This window comes from Homo sapiens, chromosome 4, assembly GCF_000001405.40.
Source record: "Homo sapiens chromosome 4, GRCh38.p14 Primary Assembly".
Classification (NCBI taxonomy): domain Eukaryota; kingdom Metazoa; phylum Chordata; class Mammalia; order Primates; family Hominidae; genus Homo; species Homo sapiens.
Genome location: NC_000004.12, coordinates 156,108,661 through 156,134,435, shown reverse-complemented (window position 1 = coordinate 156,134,435; position 25,775 = coordinate 156,108,661). Strand labels below are relative to the sequence as shown.

The following is a 25,775-nucleotide window of genomic DNA, read 5'->3' as shown; positions in this document are numbered from 1 at the left end:
TAGAATTTGACTGTGAATCTGTCTGGTTCTTGGCTTCTTTTGGTTGGTAGGCTATTTATTAGTGATTCAATTTCAAATCTCATTATTGGTCTGTTCAGGGAATCAAATTCTTCTTGACTGAGTATTGGAAGGGTATATGTGTCCAGGAATTTATCCATCTATTCTAGGTTTTCTTGTTGGTGTGCATAGTAGTCTCTGATAGTTATTTGTATTTCTGTGGGTTCAGTGGTAATATCCCCTTTGTCATTACTGATTGTGTTTATTTGGATCTTCTCTCTTCTCTTCCGTATCACTCTAGCTAGCAATCTATCTTAATAATTTTTTCAAAATGCCAATTCCTGGATTCATTGATCTTTTGAATGTTTTTTGGTGTCTTGATTTCCTTCAGTTCAGTGCTGATTTTAGTTAATTTTTGCCTCTGCCAGCTTTGGGATTGGATTGTTCTTGCTTCTCCAGTTCTTCTAGTTTTGATATTAAGTTGTTAATTTGAAATCTTTCTAACTTTTTGATGTGGGCATGTAGTTCTATAAGTTTCCTTCTAAACAGTGCCTTAGCTGTGTCCCCGAGATCCTGGTATGTTGTCTCTTTGTTCTGATTAGTTTCAAAGAACTTCTTGATTTCTGCCTTAATTTCATTATCTACCCGAAAGTCATTCAGGAGCAGGTTGTTTAATTTCCACATAGTTGCATTGTGTTGAGTGATTTTTTTTCGGTCTTGATTTCTGTTTTTATTGTGCTGTGGTGCGAGAATGTGTTTGGTATGACTTCTGTTCTTTTGCATCTGCTGATAATTGTTTTATATCTAATTGTGTGGTGATTTTAGAATATGTACCACATGGTGATGGGAAGAATAATGCATATTGTGTTGTTTGGGGGAGGATAGTTCTGTATACATCTATCAGACCCATTTGGTTCAATGTTGAGTTCAGGTCCTGAATATCTTTGTTAATTTTCTGCCTCAGTGTTCTGACTAATATAGTCAGTGGGGCATTGAAGTCTCTCACTATTATTGTGTGAGAGTTGAAGTCTGTTGGTAGGTCTCTAAGAACGTACTTTATGAATCTGAGTGCTCTTGTGTTGGGTGTATCTATATTTAGGATAGTTAAGTCTTCTTACTGAATTTAACTCCTTACCATTATGTAATGCCCTTCTTTGTCTTTTTTGATCTTTGTTGGTTTAAAGTCTGTTTTGTCTGAAGTTAGGATTGGAACCCCTGCTTTTTTCTGATTTCTATTTTCTTGGTAGATTTTCCTCCATCCCTTTATTTTGAGCCTATGGATGTCATTGTGTGTGAAATGGGACTCTCGAAGATAGCATACCATTGGGTCTTGCTGTTTTTATCCAGCTTGCCACAGATTAGTATTGTACTAAATGCCTTTTAAATGGGGCATTTAGCACATTTACTTTCAAGAATAGTATTGATGTGTGTGGATTTGAACCTGTCACTGTGGTGTTAGCTGGTTATTATGCCAGCTTGTTTGTGAGGTTTGTTTATTGTATCACTGCTCTGTGTACTTACATGTGTTTTTGTAGTGGTTGGTAACTTTCTTTCCTTCCATACTTAGTGCTCCTTTCAATATCTCTCGTAAAGCAGGTCTGATGATAACAAACTCCCTTAGTATTTGCTTATCTGGAAAGGATCTTATTTCTCCTTCACTTAGGAAGCTTATTTTGGCTAGATATGAAATTTTTGGTTGAAGATTTTTTCTTTAAGAATATTGAATATAGGCCTCCATTCTCTTCTGGCTTGTAGGGCTTCTACTGAGATGCCCACTGTTAGCCTGATGGGATTCCCTTTGTAGGTGACCTCCCCTTTCTCTCTAGCTGTCTTTAACATTCTTTCTTTCATTTCAACCTTGTAAAACTTGATTACTATGTGCCTTGAGGATGATCTTCTTGTGTGGAATCTTGCAAGGGTTCTCTCTATTTCCTGAGTTTGACTCTTAGCCACTCTAGCATGGTTGGGGAATTTTTCACGGACTCTATACTGAAATATGTTTTTCAAGTTATTTGCTTTCTCCCTCTCCCTTTCTGAGATGCCAGTGATTCATGAATTTGGACTCCTTACATAATCCCATGTTTTTCCAAGGTTTTGTTCATTCCTTTTCATTCTTTATTTTTGTTTGGCTGTCTTATTTCAGAGAACGAGGCTTCAAGTTCCAAGATTTTTTCCTCAGCTTGGTCTATTCTGCTGTCAATACTTGTGATTGCATTGTGAAATCCTTGTAGTGTGTTTTTCAGGTCTATCGGACCAGGGAAATTCTTCTTTTTTAACAGCTATTTCATCTGTCAGCTCCAGTATCATTTTATTGTGATTCTTAATTTCCTTGGATTGGTTTTTGCTGTTCTCCTGAATCTCACTGATCTTCGTTCCAATCCATATTCTGAATTCTATTTCTGTCATTTTAGCCAAGTCAGTCTGGTTAAGAACCTTTGTTAAAGAACTAATGTGGTGATTTGGAGGATACAGGACACTGGCCTTTTGAATTGTTGGAGTTCTTGCGTTGGTTCTTTCTCATCTCTGCATGTGGCTATTGCTCCAACTGCTAGGCTGTCGAAGTAGTCAGGCAGCAGCAGCGTGGTTGTGCTGAAGTCTCAGGTCAGGCAGCCCTGCTCAGTGAGGAGAAGTGAGGATGGGGGCATGCATGGAGAACAGTCCAGCTACTTTTCTATGAAATGGGTGCTCTGTCCTGGGGGTCTTGACCAGTCCATAATCCTGGGTACTCTCCAGAGCCTGGAGACAGCAAGGGCAAGGGCTGTGAGAAAGCAAAGAGGGCAACCTGCTCCTCCTACTGGGTACTCTGTCCCAGGAAGTTGCAGAGTTGCTACTGGCTTGATAGTTCCAGGTGGAGGTGGCAGAAGACCCAGGTTGGGAAGACCAACCCAGGGAGGAGATATGGGATCAGGGACCCATGTAACAAGCAGTCAGGCTGCTTTTTCACAGGGCTGCTGCAGTATGCTGGCAATCCACTCTAGTCCCTAGTTACCTCAGATTTTCTAGTACCTGAAGGCATCTTCAGTGAAGGCTGCAAAACAGCAAAGATGGTGGCCTGCCCCTCCATCTGGGAGCTCCACCCCAGGGAGATACAGATCTGTTGCCAGCCTGAACACACTGGCAGTGGTGGCTGGAAACCTCGGTAGGGAGCTCCCACCCAGTGGGAAGGAAGGGGATGAGGGACCTACTTTATAGAGCACTCTGGCACTTTTCCGTACAGCAGCCGTGCTGTGCTGGGGGGTCTGCTCCAGCCCCCAGTCACCTTAGACTCTCCAAAGCCTGAAGGTGACAGTGGCTAAAGCTGCAAAACAGAAAAGATGATGACCCTCCCTTCCCTTTGGGAGCTCCATCCCAGGTAGGTTTGGAATTGCTGCTAGCTGGAAAACACCTGTGGGGGTGGTTGTAGACCTTGGTTGTGGGATTCCACTCAGTGAAGAGAAATGGGTTCCAGGGTCTGTATGAAAAAGCAGTCTGGCTGCCTCTTCATAGAGCTACTGTGCTGTGCTGGGGGACCACTCCAGTTCCTAGACACCTTGAATTCCTCAGAACCTGAAGGCATCAATGACTAAAGCTGCAAAATAGCCAAGTGGGCAGACTGCCCCTCCCTCTGGGATCTGTGTCTCAGGGAAATGTAATGTTGCTACTCATGGCTAGCTGGAGTTCCAAGCCACAGGGTCTTATCCTGCAAGATGCCATGGAAGCAAGGCCTGCAGACTGTGGCTGCTCAGTCCCCTAGATTCAGCCTCTTCTCTAGGGGTATGTATGGGGGTCTTACCTCCCATTTTGCTGGAGTTGCAGCCACTTTTGCCAGGAACCCTGGGTATCTAAAGCTTCTGGGGCTCCACATGTGCCTGAGCAGCTGCTCTGCCAAGACTCCACATAGCTTGGCCTGTTAGAATGAAGGCCTTGGTGGACTGGGTTTATGAGGGAATCTCCTGACCCAAGAGTTGCAAAGATCCATGGGAGAAGCATGGATCCCCAGGGTTGCTCACTTACTCACTGCTTCCCTGGGTGGGGAGGCTCCTCTGGCTCCATGCGACTCCGAGTGGGCGGTCATCCTACCTTGCCTTGTTCCATCCTCTGCAGGTCAAGTTCTTTTCTTAATGAATCCCAATGCATGTACCTAGGTGTTTCAGTTAAAGGTTACTTTCCCCTTCTATTTCTTTCCATGAGAGTGGCACACACTAACTGCTTCTAGTTGGCCATCTTCCAGCATAGAATTTTCATTTCCACTGCAAGGTGTTTCTGTTTAATTTTTTTCTGTATGTTTTCTTGTAGAATATGTTCTTTCAACTCTTCTTTCATAATTCTATATATAAAAATATATAAATCCTTGACAAATGTACTATTTTGTGTATATTTCTATCTTTGAAATTCTTACAAATAATTTAGGGTTATTAATCTTATGTTGCTTACACTTTTTTTCCCCTAAGTGTTATGTTCTGGGCATTCATCTATCCTCTCATCAGCTTTTGATCTACCACATCTTGGGTAAGTATATAAACCAATTCACTTCCTCCACTGCATAGAATTCCTTCTTGTGCAGGTAACTTAATTTATATATAAACAATAGTACCCAAGTTATTTTCAGTGCTTTGCTACTATGCACAAGCTACAGTGACCATCCTGTTAGTGGTCACTGTAAATATCGGTTAGGTTCCCTAGCAAGTTTAGTCCAATAGGGAAATTGCTGAATCAAAGGAGAAATGATAACTTAATTGTAATGCTTTCTGGAATGATTACATCAGTATATATTCCATCATTGCTTGAGGGTTTCTTTTTTTTTCTTTTTTTTGAGATGAAGTCTTGCTCTGTCACTCAACCTGGAGTGCAGTGGTGCGATCTTAGCTCACTGCAACCTCCACCTCCTGGATTCAAGCAATTCTCCTGCCTCAACGTCCCCACTAGCTGGGATTACAGAAGTGCACCACCACGCCTGGCTACTTTTTTTGTATCTTTAGTAGAAGACGGGGTTTTGCCATGTTGGTCAGGTTGGTCTTGAACCCCTGACCTCAAGTGATCCACCTGTATGGCCTCCCAAATTGCTGGGATTACAGGCGTGAGCCACCGTGCCCAGCCAGGTTTCTTGTTTTCCATATAATTAACACATTTACTAATATCCAGCTATCCAATGTTGTCAGTGATAAGTAAACTTGTATCTCTTTGTGTAATTTACTTTTTTCTTTTTTTTTTCTGGCTATTACTGAGGTTGCATATGCACGTATATGTATTGGTCTTTGAGATTTTTCTTACTTTGAATTGTCTATTTCTTTACCTGTTTTACATGAGTTTTCTCATCAATTTAAAGGAGTTCCATGTATAATATATGTGTTCATCCCTTGTTGACTTTAGATGTTTCAATATATTTAACCAGTCTATCTCTAATTTTTTGTCTATGGCATCCTTAATTAAACAGATTTTTTTGATACAGTCAAATTAGCCCTAAGTAGCGAAATTATATACAGGGCTATGACAAGGAAACAAAAAGGCCCAACATGAAACCTTTCCCTTCATCCTTTACAGGTTTTGTTTTGTTTTGTTTTTTTACCATTTCCCACACATATACAATCATTATTCAATCACCATTGTCTCTCTACAGGATATGAATAATGTTTCTGTTAATGAGCCAGCCTCTGGGAACCATCACTCTCCTATTGCTTAAGATTTCCAGGTATAAGAAGTCAGCATTGTATGCCAGTTGGCTATCTTGTTCCCCAAACTTCTTAGAGCCATTGGATTTACCAACTATCTTCCTTTCCTTACCATGATCTATAAATTAAACTAAGATTGTTTTCTTGGAGGACAGCAACAACTTCAACATTTCAAAACTTCCTCAGTTATTCAATACAAAATTTGGATTGGCATTTGATTCTCTGTAATCATCCATTTTTAAAAATGTTCTACCTTTCTACTTGATTTCATTTATTTGTTCACTGTATGCCTTGCCTAAGAACTAAACATAGGCATTCTTCTATATTTTGGTCACAGGATAATTTTTGCCTTTTTCTTTCATTTTTTTTTTCTGTAAGCAACTTGACCACTGCCATGTTTTGAATTATCTCAATGCATGGAACTTATAGATGTACAAATCTACATCTGTAATCCTGACCTCTTTTCCTAAACTTTAAGCACATTTTTTTCTTTCTATTTTTTAAAAATCACTTCCAACTTGATGTTAAAATATCAAGTGCTTTTGCTTTTCATGGGTTTCTTAGCCCTGCTGTGGCTGCTGTGATTCTCCCTACCATCCAGTTTTCAAATCTAGTCATTTTCTTTTTCTGCTCCACTACTCAATTAAGTAGTGAGCATTCAAGAAGTGTAGATACCCTCATTGATTCTCATGACATTTTCTTCATTGTATTTTTAGAATAAAACTCTCGATCTGGCTACCTACTCCGGTAGCAGACATAACCTTATTTTTTAAATTGAACTTTGCATTCAGATAGATGTATATTCAGATGCAGTTGTAAAAGTCAATATAGATTCTCCTCTACACTTCACTCAGTTTCCCCTACTGATAACATTTTGCAAAACTGTAGTGTAATTCTGCAACTACAATACTGACATTGATACAAACTGGTCATCTTATTCAGATTTCTCCAGTTTTACTTTTGTGTTTATTCAGCACTATATAATATTGATGTTGTTTTTAACTTTTAATAAAAACTTTATTTTTAGAGAAGTTGTAGATTCACAGCAAAATTGAGCAGAAGTACAGAGATTTCCCACATACACCCTGTCCCCACACATGCACAACTTCTTCCACTGTCAACAACTTCCACCATAGTCGTACATTTGTTACACTCTGTGAAGTTGCACTGAGACATCATTATCACCTAAATTACCTAGTTTACATTAGCATTCAATCATGATATTGTACATTCTATGGGTATTGACAAATGCTTATTGACAAATATCTGCTGTCATAATATCATACAGAATAGTTTCACTGCCTTAAAATTACTTGTGCTCTGCCTATTCATCCCTCCTTCTCCCCATACCCCAGCAACCACTGATATTTTTAGCCTCCATAGTTTTGCATTTTCTGGAATGTCATATAGTTAGAATTATACAGTATGCATATAGTAGCCTTTTCAGATGGGCATATTTCACTTAGTAACACGCATTTATGTTTTCTCCATGTATTTTCATAGAGAAAAACTTTTCGATGTTTTTTAGTATTGAACAATATTCCATTGTCTGGTTGTACCATAGTTTATTTATCCAATCACCTATTAGAGGACAACTTGGTTGATTCCAAGTTTTGGCAGCTATAAATAAAGCAACTATAAACATCCCTGTGCAGGAACTTCTGTTGGCAAAAGTTTTCAATTTATTTGGATAAATACCAAGGAGTACAATTGCTAGATTACATAGTATAAGTATGTTTAGCTTTATAAGAAACTATCAAAGTGTCTTTCGAAGTGGTTGTACTATTTGCATTCTCACCAGCATTGAATGAGAGAGTCTCTTTACATCCTCACCAGCATATGGTATTATCGATGTTTTGGATTTTGGCCGTTCAGGTATGTATGTAGTAGAATCTTATTTTTGTTTTAATTTGCAATTTCCTAATAACACAATGTTAAACATCTTTTCAAATGCTTATTTGCCGTCTTTGATGGGGTGAACAGACATTCAAGTCTTTTACTCGCTTTGAAACTAGGTTGTTCATTTTCTTATTGCTGAGTTTTAGGAGTTTTTGCATATTTTGGATAAAAGTTCTTTATCAGGTGTGTCTTATGCATATATTTTCTCTCAGTCTGTAGATTGTCTTCTTTTTCTCCTGACATTGTCTTTCACAGAGCGGAAGTTGTTAATTAAGTTCAGTTTTTAAATTATTTATTTAAATGGATGGAGCCTTTGGTGTTTTACCTAGAAAGTCATCTTACTGAACACCACATAGGTATAGTTTTGCATTTTACATTTATGTCTATAATCCATTTTGAGTTAATATTTTTGAAGGATTAATGTCTGTGTGTAGATTTCTTTGTATATAGATGTCCAGTTTTTCAAGCACCATTTATTGAGAAGACTAATTGCTTCATAATATTGCCTTTGCTCCTTTGTCAAAGACCAGTTGACTGGATTTATTTCAGTCTATTTCTGAGCTCCTATTGTTAGTCTATTCAGCAATTAGTTGATCAATTAGTCTATTTTTTCACCAATACCACATTGTCTTGATTACTGTTTCTTTATAATAAGGCCTGTGTTTAACCATGTTTTGAAGTATAATACTCACAATCTGTACATCTGTAGTGAATATAATAAAATCTAAATGAGTTTGGCATTATGAATTGATTCATTGCATACATTGTGTGAGTTTGAATGTATGCATATAGCTATAAAACCATCACCACTATCAAAGTAACCTTGAAAAGTTTCCTTATGCATCTCCCTTTTTAATAGAAGGTTTATAATTGTCAGTTTTTTAATTTAGTTATTCTCTTTCAATACTGCATTGACTATGCTAAATCTTTTCACTCTCTATATACGCTTTAAAATCAGTTTGTTGATATTCAAAGAATAACATGCCAGGATTTTGATTATGATTACATTGAACCTATAGATAATGTTAGAAATAACTGATATCTTGACAATATTGAGTCTTCCTATCTATGAACATGAAATATCTCCATTTAGCTCTTCTTTGATATCTTTTATCAGAGTTTGTTTTTGTTTTTGTTTTTGTTTTTTTGAGATACAGTCTCGCTCTGTCGCCCAGGCTGCAGTGCAGTGACGTGATCTCGGCTCACTGCAAGCTCCGCCTCCCGGGTTCACGCCATTCTTCTGTCTCAGCCTCCTGAGTGGCTGGGACTACAGGCACCCACCAACACGCCCAGCTAATTTTTGTATTTTTAGTAGAGCCGGGGTTTCACTGTGTTAGCCAGGATGGTCTCAATCTCCTGACCTCGTGATCCACCCGCCTCGGCCTCCCAAAGTGCTGGGATTACAGGCGTGAATCAGAGTTTTATAGTTTTTCTCATATAGGTCTTGAACATATTTTGTCAGATTTATATCTAAGTAATCCATTTTTGGAGGGGGATGCTGAGTAAATATTATTATGCTTCTAATTTCAAATCCCGCTTGTTCATTGTTGTATGTAAGAGAGCAATTGGCTTTCTTATGTTAACATTATATACTGCAACCTTGTTAGGATAACTTATTAGTTTCAAAAGCTTTCTTTGTAAATTCTTTCAGATTTTCTAGTTAGATGACCATGCCATCTTCAAACAAATACTGTTTTATTTTTTCCATTCCAATCTATATATTTATTTATTTATTTTTCTTGTCTTATTGCACTAGCTAGGACTTCCAATATTATGTTAAAAAGGAATGATGAGAGGAGATACCCTTGCCACTTTGTTCCTGATCTTAGTGGAAAAGCTTCTAGTTTCTCAGCATTAAATATGGTATTAGCTGTAAGATTTTTGTAGGTGTTCTTTATCAAATTGAAAAAGTTCTGATATATCTCTGGTACAGTGAGAGTTTTAATTACGAATGAAATGTGAAATTTTGTCAAATGGTTTTTTTGAAACCTATTGATAAGATCATGTGATTTTTTTCTAGTTAGTGCATTGATATGATGGTTTACATTGATGTTTGAAATTTGAATGAGCTTTGCATACTGGGATAAATTGCACTTTGTCAAGGTGTATAATTCTTTTTCTATATTGTTGGTTTTAATTTGATAATATTTTGTTGAGGATTTCTGTGTCTATTAATAAAAAAGATTGGTTTGTAGTTTTACTTTCTTGTAATGTCTTTGGCAGGTTTTGGTATTAGGGTAATGCTGATTTTACAGAATGAGTTATTCAATATTTCCTCTTCATCTGTTTTCTGAAAGAGACTGTAGAGAATTGATATAATTTGTTTCTTAAATGTCTTGTTGAATTCACCAGTGCACCCATCTAGACCTGGTACTTTCTGTTTTGGAAGGTTATTGATTACTGATGCAATGTCTTTAATAGATACAAACAAATTCATATTTTCTATTCTTTCTTTTGTGAGTTTTGGCAAATTATGTCATTCAAGGAATTCGTTTGTTTTATCTGAGATATCAGATTTGTGGGCACACAGTTGTTCAGAATGTTCTTTTGTTATCCTTTTAATGTTCATAAGCAGGTAGTGATGTCCCCTCTTTCATTTCTGATATTAGTAATTTGTGTTTCTCTTTTTGGCTTAGTTAGGCTTGCTGGGGCAAGAGGCTCATTGACTTAACTGGTCTTTTTATAGAATCAGCTTTTGGGTTTTGTTGATACTCTGTATTGATTTCTTGTTTAATTTCATTGATTTCTGCTCTAATTTTTACTAACTCTTCTCTTCTTCCTACTTTGTATTTAATTTGCTCTGCTTTTCTAGTTTCCTAAGGGGAAAAATTAGATAACTGATTTTAGATGATTATTTCTAATATATGCATTCAGTGGCATAAATTTCCCCATAAGCACTGCTTTCATTACATCTCACAAATTATGATGAGTTTTATTATTATTTTCATTTAGTTCAACTTATTTTTTAGTTTCTCTTAAGATTTCTTCTTTGACTCATGTGTTATTAGAAGTGTGTTGTTTAATCTCTAAGTATTTTAGAATTTTCCAGCCATCTTTCTGTTGATTTCTAAATTGATTTCCATTATAGATTCCATCATGATCTGAGAGCAGACATAGGATAGATTTATTCTTTTAAATTTATTAAGGTGTGACTTACATAACATAATACAATCTAAACTGGTGAATATTCCATGTGAGCTTGAGAAGAATGTGCATTCTGCTGTTGTTCAATGGAGTAATCAATAGATGCCACATATTTCCAGTTGATGGATGAGTTATTGAATTCCAGTTATTGAGTTCAACTGTGTTCTTACTGAGTTTTTGACTGCTGAATCTATTCATTTCTGAATGGGATCTCCAATTATAATAGTGGACTCATTTATTTTTTCTTGCAACTCTGTCAGTTTTTGGTTTTTGTCTCATCTATTTTGACACTTTCTTGTTAAACACATGTACTTTAAGGGTTGTTATATCTTCTTGGTGTATTACCTCCATTATCAATATATAATGTCTCTGTTTATCTCTGATAACTTTACTTGCTCTGAAGTCTGCTCTAAATTTAACATCGATATTAAAATTAACAGATACTTTGCTTTTTTAGTGCTAGCAAGGTATATTTTCCTTTACTCATTTACTTTCAATGTGTACGTGTCTTTATATTCAAAGTGGGTTTCTAATAGATGGCATATAGTTGAGTCTTCTTGTTTGATATACTCAATCTTGTCTTTTCATTAGTGTATTTAGACTTGATATTTCAGATTAATATTGATATGGTTCAATTAATTTCTACCATATTTGTTCATGTTTTCTGTTTGTTTTCCTTTTCATTTTGTCTATTTTTGTTTTTACACTTTTTCTCTTTTTTATAGTTTTATTATTTAATTTTTTTTATTTTTAATTATTATAAATACATAATAGTTGCACAAATTTATGGGGTAGCTGTGAAATTTTGATCCGAGCATAAAATGTGCACTGCCTAAATCAGAGTAATTGGGATATCCATCAACTCAAGCATTTATCATTTGTTGGTGTTAGGAGTGTTCCAATTCTACTCTTTTTGTTATTTTGAAATAAAAGTTATTGTTAGCTACAGTAGTCCTATTTTACTACCAAATACTAGGTTTTATTCCTTCAATATAATTTTTTTTTTTTTTACCCATGAAATATAGCCTTTTATCACTCTCCCACCTACTACTCTTCCCAGCCTGTGGTAACCATCATTCTACTTTAACTCCATGAGATAAACTTTTTTAGCTTTCAATACGAGTGACAACATGTGATATTTGTCTTTCCATGCTTGGTTTATTTCATTTAACATAATAATTGGTCCCATCCATGTTGCTACAAATGATAAGATTTCATTCATTTCATGTCTGAATAATTCCATTTTGTATATCTACATTTGCTTTATTCATTAACCCACTGCTGGACACTTAGGTTAATTCCATAGACTGGCTATTGTGACGGTGGATTATATGGTAGTTCTACCTTTAGTTTTTTGAGGAATCTCCAAATTGTCTTCCATACTGGCAGTACTAATTTATATTATCACCAGCAGTGTATGAGGGCTCCCTTTTCTTCAAACATGCCAGCTTTGCCTGTCTTTTGATAAAAGCCATTTTAACTGGAGTGAGATGATGTCTCATTTTAGTTTTGTTTTGCACTTCTCTGACAATTAGTGATGTTGAGCATTTTTCCATTTATCTGTTGGCCATTTGTATGCCTCATTTTAAGAATGCCTATTCTGATATTTTTTCCATTTTAAATGAGATTATTTGACTTTTTGCTATTGAGTTGTTTGAGCTCCTTATATTCAGGTTATTAATCTCCTGTCAGATGGGTAGTTTGTAAATATTTTCTCACATCCTGTGGTTTGCCTCTTCATTTTGTTGAATATTCTCTTTGCTATCCAGAAGCTTTGTAGCTTGATGAGAAGGATTAAAAACCGTATGATCATTTCAATAGATGCCAAAAAGTATTTGATAAAATTCAATATCCCGTCATGATAGAAACTCTCAAAAAACTGAGTATTAAAGAAACATACCTCAAGACAATAATAACTGTATATGACAAACTTATAGCTGGTATCATACTGAAGGAGAACAACAGAAAGCCTTTCCTTTTTATTTCTTTATTTTTTATTTTTTATTTTTTGAGACAGAGTCTTGCTGTGTCACCCAGGCTACAGTGCAGTGGCATGATCTTGGCTCACTGCAGCTTCAGCCTACCTGGTTCAAGTGAGTCTCCTGCTTCAGCCTCTCGAGTAGCTGGGATTACAGGTATGCGCCACCATACCCGGCTAATTTTTGTATTTTTAATAGAGACGGGGTTTCACCATGTTGGCTAGGCTAGTCTCGAACTCCTGACCTCAGGTGATCCACCCACCTTGGCCTCCCAAAGTGCTGGGATTAGAGGCATGAGGCAGTGTGCCTGGCTGAAACAAGATGAGGATGCCCACTTTCACCCTTTTATGTAACATAATACAGGAAGTCCTAGCCAGAGAGATTACATAAAGGAAAGAAATAAATGGCATCCAAATTGGAATGGAAGAAGTCAAATTATTCTTGTTTGCAGATTATATAATCTTAATTTCAGAAAAACCTAAAGATTCCACAAACAAAACCATTCAAACCAATAAACAAATTCAGTAAAGTTGCAGCATACAAAATCAACATACAAAAAAGAATAGCATTTCTGTATGCCAACAGCAAACAGTCTGAAATAGAAACTGTGAAAGTAATACCATTTACAATAGCCACAAACAAAATAAAATACACAGTAATAAACTTAACCAAAAATTGAAAGATCTCTACAATGAAAACTATAAAACATCACTAAAAGAGATGGAAGAAGACACCAAAAAAGTGAAAAGATATTCCATGATGATGAATCAAAGAATCAATGTTATTAAAATGTCCATTCTACCCAAGGCAATGTATAGATTCAACGCAATCCTTATCAAAATACCAATGACATTCTTCACAGAAATAGAAAATATAAGACTAAAATGTATATGGAATCAGAAAAAGCCCTGAATAGCTAAGGCAACCCTGAGCTAAAAGAACAAAGCTGAAGTCATCACATTACTAAACTTCAAATTATACTACAAAGTTATAGCAATTGAAACATTGTAGTACTGGCATACAGACACATAGACCAATAGAACAGAATAGAGAACTCAGAAATAAATCCACACATTTTCATTCAACTCACTTTTGACCGAGGTATTAAAAACATGCATTGGAGAAAGGACAGTTTATTCAACAAATAGCTCGGGGAAAACTGGATATCTATATGCTGGAGAATGAAACTAGACTGCTATCTCACCTTACACAAAAACAAAATCAAAATGAATTAAAGACTTACATCTAATACCTGAAACTATGAAACATCGGGGAACCATTTCAGGATATTGGTGTGGGGAAGGATTTCTTGAATAAGACCTCAAAACCACAGCCAACCATAGTAAAAATGGACAAATTAGATCACATTATATATTTTACAGTTTGAATATTTTCTGATTTTATTTTCTCTCATTTCTTAGCATGTTAATTATACTTTTTTTCTTTGTACTTTTTTAGTTGTTACCTTAGAATTTTGCAACATAAATTTACAATTAATCCAAACCTGCTTTCAAATAACACCATATCACCACGTAGGTAAGCCAAGTACCTTATAATAACAAAATATTACTAGCTTCTCCCTTCTGTCCTTATAGTATTGTTACATTCATTTCACATATGCATAAGCATGCATATATATGTGTATGTATATATATATATATACACACATATATGTGTACATAATTGAATACACTATTGCTATTATTATTATTGTTTTCTGTTAGATCAACTAAGGAAAAGAAAAGTTAGTATTTTACCTTTACTTATGCATTTTCTGGTGCTCTTCCTTTATTTATGTTGATCTGAATTTCTGACCTACATAATTTTTTCCCTATGAAGAACTTCTTTTGCAAGGCAGGTTTACTAATGAAAAAAAATCCCTTAATTTTTATTTTTCTGAGGAAATCCTTATTGCTCCTTTACTTTTGAAGAATAACCTCACAAGGTGCAGAGCTTTAAGTTGGTGGGTTTTATCTCTTAACACTTAAAATATTTTATCCCACTCTCTTCTTGCTATGCAGCAAGCTTGCTTGCTTCCTTGTTTCTCAGGAGAAGTCAGTTGTAGTTCTCTGCTCCTCTATAGGTGAACTGTTCTTTTCCTCTGGTTTCTCCCAAGATTTTTTTTCAGCTTTGATTTTCTAAGTTTTTATATGATAAATGCCTAGATGTACTTTTTTGGCATTTATTCTTCTTGGTATTTTCTGAGATTTCTGGATCTGTAGTTTGGTGTCTGACATTAATTTAGGGAATTTGTAATTTTTGCGTCCATATTGCTTTAGCTCCTATCTCTCCTTCTTCTCTTTCCAGCATTATCATTATGTATAAGTTACATCTATTTATAGTTATGCCACAGTTCTTGCACATTGTGTTCTATTCTTAGCATTTTAGTCATAGTTTAAGTTGTTTTTTTTTTTTAAATTCCTGGTCTGATAATTCCAACATTCCTGCCATATCTGAATATTGCTCTGATGATTGTCAGGTCGCTTCAAACAGTTCTTTTGCCTTTCAGTGTTTCTTGTTAATTTTTTTATTACACCTTGTTGAAAGGTAGATGTGTTGTGCCAGGTAAAAGAAACTTCTATAAACAGGCTTATAGTAATAAAGTGGTAAGAAGGGAGTGGACAGGAAGTGATGTATAGTCCTACTATTACATCTCAGTCTTACGGTAATCCCATGCCTCTGGACTGCAGACTTTTCTCAGTCTCCCTACTCCCCACATTAGGTGAGACAAAATGACTAGATGGGCTACAGTTGGGTATTTCCCTACCCTTAGGTAGATTAAGCTCTGATATAATCCCAGCAGGTTAGGTTCTGGTTAATTAGTTTCTTTTGAGGGTAGGCCTAATTAAGAAGAAGAGAATTCTCTGGTGTGTTTCAAAATGTTTCCTATTCCCCTTCCCTTGCCAGAGGCATGAGGGGATTTTTCTCCAGTATTCACTGTTAGGATCTGGTAGAATTCCTGGAAATAAAAGTTGTAAGAGTCTGAGGGTCCCCCTAGAGTTTTTAACTCTCAGACTTGTACATTCTGAGCCTCCAGCTATCCATCAACTACTGTTCAGATTTTTCTAACCCAGCACTGTTGCTATGAAGGTTTCTACTAACGGATTTCTACTCCAGTAAGCTGTGATTCTCTGTATGCACCTATCTCTCCAATTGTTGGGGCAGTAGATTTGTCCTGAGACCCCACTTGTCTGATGGAGCTAAGAAGAGTTTTTAATGTTTTAGTTTGTTCAGCTTTTTATCTTTTGCTAGGACTGAGTGAAGACTTCTAAACTCCTTAGGTGCTTGACCAGAAACCAGAAGTCTCTAACTTTATAAACATACATACATTTGGTTTGGTCTGTTTCTTCCCCCTTTGAATTTCTTTATTAAACCTGTCAAATTTTGTCCAGGCTTCATGATTAACCTAAAAATGCTACCTAATATCTGACACTTGATCTCCCAACTTAGACATAATTTGTTTTTATTTTTAAATTTATATCTACTATATTTTAAGGTACTTATTAATTTTGACTCCTGTGGGAAGTGTACATGAAGCTAAGCATGTATTTAGATTAAGTGCTAATTAGTCAGACTTCCCAGAAAAAGTAGGATTTGAACTGGTTCTGAAAAATGAGTCATATACTGACCAAATGGTCTCTGACAAATAATTTGACATTTTTGGTATTTTGAGAACACTATATTCAAAATGCACTTTTAAATAAGCTTTCTCTTATGTGCTTTATAACTGGGGTTGACAAACTACAGCCAGTGGACCAAATCCAGCCCCTGACTATTTTTGTAAGTAAAGTTTCATTGCAATATAACTACTTCAGATTATTACCAAGACCGTATGTCCTGCCAACCTGAACATTTACTATCTGGCACTTTATAGAAAAATCCTGAGGACCTCTGCTTTAAAAGTATAAATGGAACACAGATTGAGAGCCCTTTGGGATCTAAAAAACCCCAGCAATACAAATTCCAAGTTTGTATTAGTTTTTTTATTTTTGTTAATCTGAATTGCTCCTCAAAGTTTGAGTCCCTGAATGGCAGCATTGACATCACCTGGGAAAGAAGTACAAACTTTCCATTATGTAAGATGAATAAACTTGGAGATCTAATAGAATGTATAGCTTTTTGAAAATGCTAATACTGAAGTTTCTATAAGACTTTGAGAATAATCATCTCTCTATAGATAACATCTATAGATAATAAAACAGTTTGTATACTTGAAATTTGCTAAGATAATAGATTCTAAGTGTGCTCACTACATCAAAAACATGGTAAATATATAAGGCAATGAATATGTTAATTAGCTTGATTATAGTCATTATTTCACAATGCATACCTATATCAAATCAAGTTGTACACTTTAAATATACACCATTATTTTTCAAAACTAAAAAATCAGAATTGTATATTCTGAAGTCCTATGCCTGATCTACTGAATTAGAATTTACATCTTAAAATGCAATTGGTATGCACAGCATGGTTTGAAAAATTCTACTTTAAAGAGTGTCAATTGAAGAACCAGCATCCAAACTCAGATTTTAGCTGACTGCCTGAATTTGGCTTCTGCTGCTGTCACTTACTATCTCTGAGGCCATAAATAAGCAGCTTAAATTCCCTGTGGCTCAGCTTCCTATTTGTAAAATGCAACTAATGTTATTATATGTATCTCAGTGTCATTTCAGTGACAAATGAGTTTGTGTGTGCATGTGTGTGTGTGTGTGTGTGTGTATATACACATTATATATATATAATATATATAACTCATGTATACAATATTTGGAACAGCACTTAATATATGCTATGACATAATAAATACTCAATATATTATCATTACTATTACTATTTAAATATATAGAATCTTTATTTTTAAAATGTGACTGGCAAGCCAATTGGCTTAGGTCAATTAGCAAATTATTGGCTAATTAATAACAATGCTTCAGAAGAAAGGTGCTAGTAGATTCAACTCTAAATCAAAGCCTTTATTTTAACTATAATCAACCAGCATAGGAATTAGAGATGATTTTTTTCAAAGTCTTATAGAAACTTTACTGTTAGCTTTTTCAAAAGTTTTTATCTGAATTAAAATGGCTAAGCAATAAGATTCCAAAACTTTTCTTAATTGATTTGACAAGTGAGAATATTTCAAAAGTGTCTACTTCCATCAGCCATAATCACTACTGTTCTGGAATGTGTTCAGGTCTAATATCACTTTGACTGACAGTGAAATGGCCCCTACCTGAATTAGAACTCCTGAGGAGAAATGCCTCCAAAAAAGCTACTGCTCTCAGGAATGTCTAGATGACACATGTTTAGTTTAGTTATAGGTTAAAGGTTTCTTCAGGGGCACCTGTGGATAGTTAAAAGGATAAGTAATTCAATCAGAATTCATTTAAAATAGAAACCCATTGACTGGGGATTTGGATAAGTCTTTACATCTGCAGAATGAAAAACAACAAAGAAATACTACTCATTTTATTTTGAAATAAATCAGCTTTAAATCTGGGATTAGTGAGGAATTTACTATATAGAAGAGACAGTACTCACCAGCAGTATTTTCTTAGAACTGTCACTTCCAAATATACAATTTATTTGAATAATGCTCAGGTTGTATTCCTGAAAATGTGAGATTTATTTAAATCAGCAAGATCTGAAGTCTAATATCCCAGAAAAGAAATCTTTTTAGCATGTGTTGATGTTGAGTGTGGAGAAGAGTAGAGTTGAGGAGACAGAGCACTGAAGTACTCTCATAATGGAGTGTCTAGAGTTGTACCTTCCGATGGGATAGGAACCAGTCACATGTGACCATTTAAATTTAAGTTAAAGACCAGGTGTGGTGGCTCACGTCTGTAATGCCAGCATTTTGGGAGGTCAAGGTGGGCAGATCACCTGAGGTCAGGAGTTCGAAACCAGCCTGACCAACAATGTGAAACCCCATCTCTACTAAAAATACAAAAATCAACCAGGCATGGTGGCCGGTGCCTGTAATCTCAGCTACTTGGGAGGCTGAGGCAAGAGACTTGCTTGAACCCGGGAGGCAGAGGTTGCAGTGAGCCAAGATCGCGCCACTGCACTCCAGCCTGGGTGACAAGAGCAAGATTTCACCTCAAAATAAATACATAAGATAAGTTTAAGTTAAAAACTAAAATGAAGTTCAATTTTAAAATGTGTTCCTCAGGCACACTAACCACATTCCAGGGATCAGTAGTCACAGACAGCTAGTGGCTTCATTTTGTGAGGTCATAGAAATATTTCAGTGTTTTCAGAAAGTCCTGTTTCATGGTGCTGCTATAGAATATAGCAAAGACTACAAAGGAACAATCTTAGAATGATTTGGTATGGAATAGCAAAGTTCTCTAACATTTTTAGAATTTAAAAGTGTATCTATTCTTTGTAAAAAGCCGAGTGGCAGAATATTCTTTTAAACAATAAATTCATTGCTTTTCGGTGAGATTTCATGTTCTGTGGCATCTAATGATAGACCTCTTACTTTTTTTTAAACTAAAGACATCTTGAGACTTTGCCAGGGGATTGTTGGGGTTTGCCCATGAACCTTTTGATAAAAATATCACATTCATTGTTACAAGTGATTCAGCAACCCTGAAGTCAGTAGCAGTGCAATATTTTGGCCTTTATTTCTATAATTTGATTCAGATATTTTGTTCTTGTGAAGATAATTCGACACTACTAAAAACAGAATAATCTCATTAGCAAAATAGGTATTGAAATCCAAGTCGATTTAAAAATCACTCACTTAATAATCAAAATAGAACAAAAGTATAGTGAGTATAAGGATAGCTTGTATATCAAGTTACATTTGGACTTAATTTTGGAGCAAACATGTTTTATTTGGAAATTCTGGAAAAGACTAGGATCAGGCAGCTGAGAGAAAATGAGAAGCTCTGTTCCTCCTTTATCTCACTCCGCTCCCATCAGGACACACTGGGAAGCTCTGACATCAAAGCATTATGAAACCACATTTTAAAATCTACCTATTTTTCAAAAACATGAACATTGTGTTTGTATTATAAATTTATGATGTGTCACAAAGTACCTAAGATTTCTTGTTTTTAATAATACACTGTCAGCAGATGCGGTGGCTTGTGCCTGTAATCCCAGCACTTTGGGAGGCCGAGGGGGGCGGATCACCTGAGGTCAGTAGTTCAGGACCAGCCTGGCCAACATGGTGAAACACCATCTCTACTAAAAATACAAAAAATTAGTTGGGAGTGGTGGTGCACACATGTAGTTCCAGCTACTCAGGAGGCTGAGGCAGGAGGATCGCTTGAGCCCCGGAAATGCAGGCTTCAATGAGCTGAGATTGCACCACTGTACTCAAGCCTGAGTGACAGAGCAAGACTCTGTCTCAAAAAATAAATCAATAAGTAAAATAAATAAAAACAATAGTACACTGTCTTCAATAAATGCCACTTTTTAATTTTTAATTTTTTATTATTTTCCACAATTTTGTAGCATTTTATGACAATATATTAGGCATATTAATTGTCATATTTATGGCTGTCACCATCCATGCTATAGAATGCATAATTTCTACTGCAGTGTGATAGTGACTCTATATGTAGCTTTTTACGATTTGCAAAATCCTGTAGGTTAAGATTTTTTCTCTATCAATCAAAAAAATAGTGCGGGCAGGGAGAAACCTATGAAGTCCTCATTTAAAAAGAGAATATTCTCTGTGATCCAAGCCCCTGAAAGTTCTTCAATGAGACTTCTCCATCAGCTAAAAATAGCTGCAAAATAAATGCAAAGAAATATTTTGTGTGGTATTCACACCTTTAGAGTAGAAGTTACATTTTTTCAATAGTTCAAAATAAATATAACAAGGATATAAATGCCCCTTAAAGACTTTCTTTATTCTCAGAATTGTTTTAAAAAAGAACCAGATGAATTAAGCTTTATTATGCTCTTATTTCATTCAGCTAAACTTTACCTCAGATACTGCTGATATTTACTGATACAATTGGCTCTGGTAAGTTTTTTAAAAGGACATAAAACTATATTAGAATTGAATATATCCAGGATAACATCTACTTGGAAAGCTGCCGTAATTGTCTAGAATATCCCTAATTAGGTCAACAGAGAACACAGAAACAAAACTTGGTTCATAAAGTGTCATGTTTTTAGAAGCTCTGACAAAGGCAAGTTATGGTTTTGATGCCTTTCTATCCATGTTTGCATAGTCTGTATACAGCTGCACAAAAGAAGCTCCATGCCAAATATGCTCAAAACAGCCTGTGCCAGAATGAACAGACAATGTCATCACACAAAATGATCCTGTGGGTCAGTGTTCTTTTGTAACTTTAACATTAATCACTGTGTTCTAGAAAAAGAGAGAGAAGAAAAGGAATGGTCATTTTTTTCTGTCATTTCTTATTAAAAATAACATTTCCTCAGGATTGTAACAAAATTCTAGAACAAGACCAAGGTGTTGAGTCTTTTTCTCTTCTGAAAATATAACAGCTCCACCTTGAGGTAAAAGTATTTTATCATAGTTTGAGGTTATATTTGAAGTAGAAGGTTGTATTTGGGATGACTAGTGACCAATAATTCCTCATGGCAAAAGAAACAAATAAAGAGCTCCAAAATTATACAAGGGATATGGAAGCTCATCTTTTGTTCCCACTTTTGGTCAAAAACAGCAGGTATTAGTTACCTAAGAAGGATAAACGACTGTAATCTTAATGGTCATTTTCAGACTGGAATTTCATGTGGTCAAACCTGTGTTGATGAAATTTTATTTGAAGTTGTCAAAAAGCAAACTAGAACTTTAAAAATAGATTTACTCCTCTGGTATCCACTGGTATATAAATTTCTGCCAAGAAAATACACAAATGGAACTTTCTCTTGATAGAACCTACCACTTATATCTTACTGTTGGCAAAATGTTTCTGTGCTTGCATGTAAGATAAATAGTGAAAGATAATATTCTATATACCACTTGCTTTCTGAAGCTGAGCCTTAGGTTGATCTTTTCTTGTTTTTCTTTTTGACTCACCTTTCAAGGGTCGAACTTGAAGCTGCAGCAGAAGAAGATATGGAAAAACTAAAATCTTCCTCAAGCAAATATTAGAGTAATTGTCATTATCTCACCATGCTCTTTTCCTGGTTATAAATATGCTAGAAAACATTCTTACTGTAATTTTAATAAAGTATTTCTCTATGTTTTCTTCTGATTATTTTTATTATTTTATATGTTATTTGACTATGTAGTCAACTTAGAATTTTTGTGCATGTGTGTAAAAGTGACATTGCAAGCTAATTTTCTATATGAATAAAAACTGTCTCCATGCTGCTTATTTGGTCATTACAGGTACAGGAAAGTCATTTTTTAATGTTGATCTTGTATTACTGAGCCCTCTTATTAATTTCAATGGTTTTTCAGTAGATTCTTCTAAGTTTTTAAGTAGATGGCCATATCATCTAAAATAATGCTGCCTCTCTTGACTCAATATTGGTAATTGCTTTTATCTAGAAAAATCATGCAATTATTATAGACCGTAGTGAATTTTATAATTCCTTTACTGTTTTTATATTCCCATTATATATTAACATTTAGAATTTAACTTTATTTTTTAGTCTCAGGTTAGTTTCACAAGGAGATACAAGTGCCACAGACCCACTTTATGGGATTAGTGTCCACCAGCACAGGGGACACTGTGGCAGCCTTTGAGTGAATTAGCTGAGTGGCACTTAGTTTGCAACACACCGAATATAGCATCTGATCACAGTTCAAGACATTTGAGAGGGAAGAAACAAAGGGAGATGGGGAGAAGAATCTAAGTAAGATGTTAGCAGTAGCACTCACTTTCATATTCACCAACTGAAGGCTAAGGAAAGCAGCTGGATGCCGAGGCATTAGGAAAAACGTTCGCCTAAGAATGTGCCTGCTATTCAGCTATTAAATTCCATTAAAATGTCCTCATTCTGTGGTCCATCCTTAACATCTTCTTCCAACAGCTGCAGATGCTCCCTCAGAGCTTGGGTGGGTCGGAAATATATACAGGAAAACATAAAAAATATTTTGGATGTATATTCTCAAAATAGGTGAGGAGGGAATATTTAAATAAACATGGTAAATGTGCTATAATAATTAATAAAACGTATTTGTTTGGTATTGAAATCAATTGTCCTCCAATATATTGGGATATAAAATGCATTTAAAAATATGGTACATTCAGTAGGAATAAACACATACTTTTTTAAAATTTAGAAGCCCTTTTCATACACATTTTTAACAATCACCTCATAATGATGATACTACCTGAAAATTGAAAATAAGAACCGTAAATTTTGGATTTAAAAGTGATAGACAAACCCCTATAATTCGTGGTTTCTTTAAACAGAAAGAATGTAAAGTATCAGTAAATACTAGTTATTTTTATAGATGAAAAATTAGCGCAGCTCCAGGGAAGAAACCCTTGGGTCTCAGGTTTTCTAGATGCAAAAGAGAGATAATAAGTACACCTGCAAGGTCACAATAACTGTGAAGTGATTAAAGACCCTGGGCTGAAAGACGCTTTTAAGAAAAGCACGTGTCAAAGCTCACAATGTAACAAGGGGTCCATGAGTATTTGACGGAAATGTACACACTTCATCTTTTTGCTTGATGTCCAATTAATATGTTTTATTAAACCTGAAGTAAATTTGCCCTTAAGGAAAAATTCCTGAAAGTGCTCTTTTACTATTTGTTAGCTCCAAAATAAACAGATCTCCAAGCCCCTTCCCTGAAATTCAGTAACTACTTGGGTGGCATTTGTATATTAAAGGAGAAAGCAATACAAGTTTTGCACTTTCCATATGGAGCTGGAATCACACAGGATATTTAACCTATATATTTTATCTTAAGTACATGAGTGTCTTTTTAAGGAGATTAAGGGATGAGGAGACATATCAGAGCAAACCATAGGAGACAAGTTGGCCCTCCCACTTCCTGCCTTAGTTAACAGAACATGTAGTATCAGGGTGAGGAAGAACAGGCAGGGATTAACGAGTTCCAGGAAACATGTATCATCATGCAAAAGAAAAGAATTGGCGGCGTTTCTAGGGCAATCCAGCAATTCCCCCAGCTCCTTGGCTAGATTCAGCACGCTGCTACTACTACTTCCCCTCCTCCATCTGAGGTGAGGCCAAGTTCTTAAACTCCTGGGTCACTATCTCCCTGACCGAATCATCCCAGAACCAGGCATCAGACAACTAGAGTCAGTCCCTAAATCTCAGAGCTCACAGAAATTATTTACACTAACCGTTTCTAAACCTACTTAGCCTGCTTATCCTGTCGTCTTTGTCTGTTTTGTGCTGCTACAACAGAATGCCTGAGACTAGATAACTTAAAAGAAAACAAACAAACATTATTTGGCTCACAGTTCTGGAGGCTGGGATATCCAATAGCATGGCACCAGCATCCAGCAAAGGCCTTTGCAGTGCATTATCCTATGGTGGAAGGTGAAAGAGCAACAGAGAGCAAGAAAGAGATTGAATCTGTAGCCTCGAGCCCTTTTAAAATTGTCATTAATCCGTTCATGAGGGTAGAGCCCTCATGACCTACACACCTCACATTAGATTCCATCTCTCAACACTGTTGGATTGGGAATTAAGTTCCCAATACATGCTTTTTTCACACATTCAAACCATAGCATCTGCCTTGCTCATTCCTTCCCACAAAAGAAAAAATAAAAATAAAGGCTGTTGCTCACATTCCCCCAACCCCCAACTCCTTCTGCCTCCTCACCCCTGCTGGCGGTTCCCTGTGTTGCAATGTGTGGCATGATGCGCTCCTTCCTCTTGTGTAACAAACTCACTTTTCAGTGACAACCATGTCTTGATCTGTTGGCTTCATCATACCTGAATAATAATAATAAAACTTGCATTTTAAAACACCTTGCCCCGCCCTACTCAGCCTGCTGAAAACCCAAGCACATGAATCCTTCTTTTGCTGAGAACAACCTATTTTTTATGCCTATTTTGCCTGATGTACTCTTACTACTTCTTCCTAATCCACCAAAAATACAGCTGTGCTTCAACACCATTCCTTACTTCTCTGGAAGAGTAGAAACTCTCTTTTGAACCCCCGAAGTACAATATTAATGCCTTAATGATAACATTTAGCACATTGCATTATATTTGTTTAGTTCTATAATGTTTTTGGGTCTTAATAACATTGTGTTATTTGATTTTGGTATTCCTAGTGTCAGAACCTGTCCTGGCTATGGATAGTGTTCAATAAACATTTACTGCACGATATCGTTTTTAACAAATAAAAGTTTTCTTCACCATGGGTACTGAAAATGATATCTTCCTTTTCCAACCTCATTATTTATATAATTCATTTGCCAGTTGCTCCCTACAATGGGCAATGTCTGATGTGTATATCCTAGATCCCAAACTAGATCATAAATTGCCTTCTGTGTATTCTTGTATGCTTAGTGTTGAGACCAATGTTTACATATGGTAATTGTCAGGCCTCTGAGCCCAAGCTAAGCCATCATATCCCCTGCGGCCTGCACATACACAACCAGATGGCCAGTTCCTGCCTTAACTGATGACATTCCACCACAAAAGAAGTGAAAATGGCCTGTTCCTGCCTTAACTGATGACATTGTCTTGTGAAGTTCCTTATCCTGCCTCATCCTGGCTCAAAAGCTCCCCTACTGAGCACCTTGTGACCCCCACTCTGCCTGCCAGAGAACAACCCCCCTTTGACTGTAATTTTCCTTTACCTACCCAAATCCTATAAAATGGCCCAACCCCATCTCCCTTCGCTGACTCTCTTTTCGGACTCAGCCCACCTGCACCCAGGTGATTAAAAGCTTTATTGCTCACACAAAGCCTGTTAGGTTGTCTCTTCACAGGGACGCGCATGAAATTCGGTGCCGTGACTCAGATCGGGGGACCTCCCTTGGGAGATCAATCCCCTGTCCTCCTGCTCTTTGCTCCATGAAAAAGATCCACCTACGATCTCAGGTCCTCAGACCCACCAGCCCAAGGAACATCTCACCAATTTTAAATCAGGTAAGCGACCTCTTCGTACTCTCTTCTCCAACCTCTCTCACTGTCCCTCAACCACTTTCTCCTTTCCACTCTTCAATCTCTCCCTTCT

At 36.2% G+C, this 25,775-nt stretch overlaps 1 long non-coding RNA gene across 6 annotated transcripts in view, besides 1 other annotated feature; it reads left to right on the top strand.

Moving 5' to 3' along the window:
• LOC102724785 (uncharacterized) overlaps positions 1–21,845 on the top strand; it is a 31,284-nt gene extending 9,439 nt beyond the window's left edge. The window contains exons 3-7 of one of the 6 annotated variants that reach the window (XR_939392.2): positions 4,428–4,485; positions 5,594–5,665; positions 14,126–14,203; positions 20,615–20,648; positions 21,683–21,845. This is a non-coding gene — a long non-coding RNA (uncharacterized LOC102724785). Of the gene's footprint in view, positions 1–4,427; positions 4,486–5,593; positions 5,666–7,446; positions 7,477–14,125; positions 14,204–20,598; positions 20,649–21,682 lie in introns of those variants that run through there. The other 5 variants (XR_939391.2, XR_001741525.1, XR_939394.2 and 2 more) reach the window with 5 other exon arrangements.
• Positions 22,189–22,797: an enhancer, noted in NCBI's record as "OCT4-NANOG hESC enhancer chr4:157032791-157033399 (GRCh37/hg19 assembly coordinates)". NCBI's record gives its function as "activates a minimal SCP1, AML or CMV promoter by ChIP-STARR-seq in naive H9 embryonic stem cells {active_cell/tissue: H9 hESC(naive)}" and the evidence as "EXISTENCE:reporter gene assay evidence [ECO:0000049][PMID:30033119]".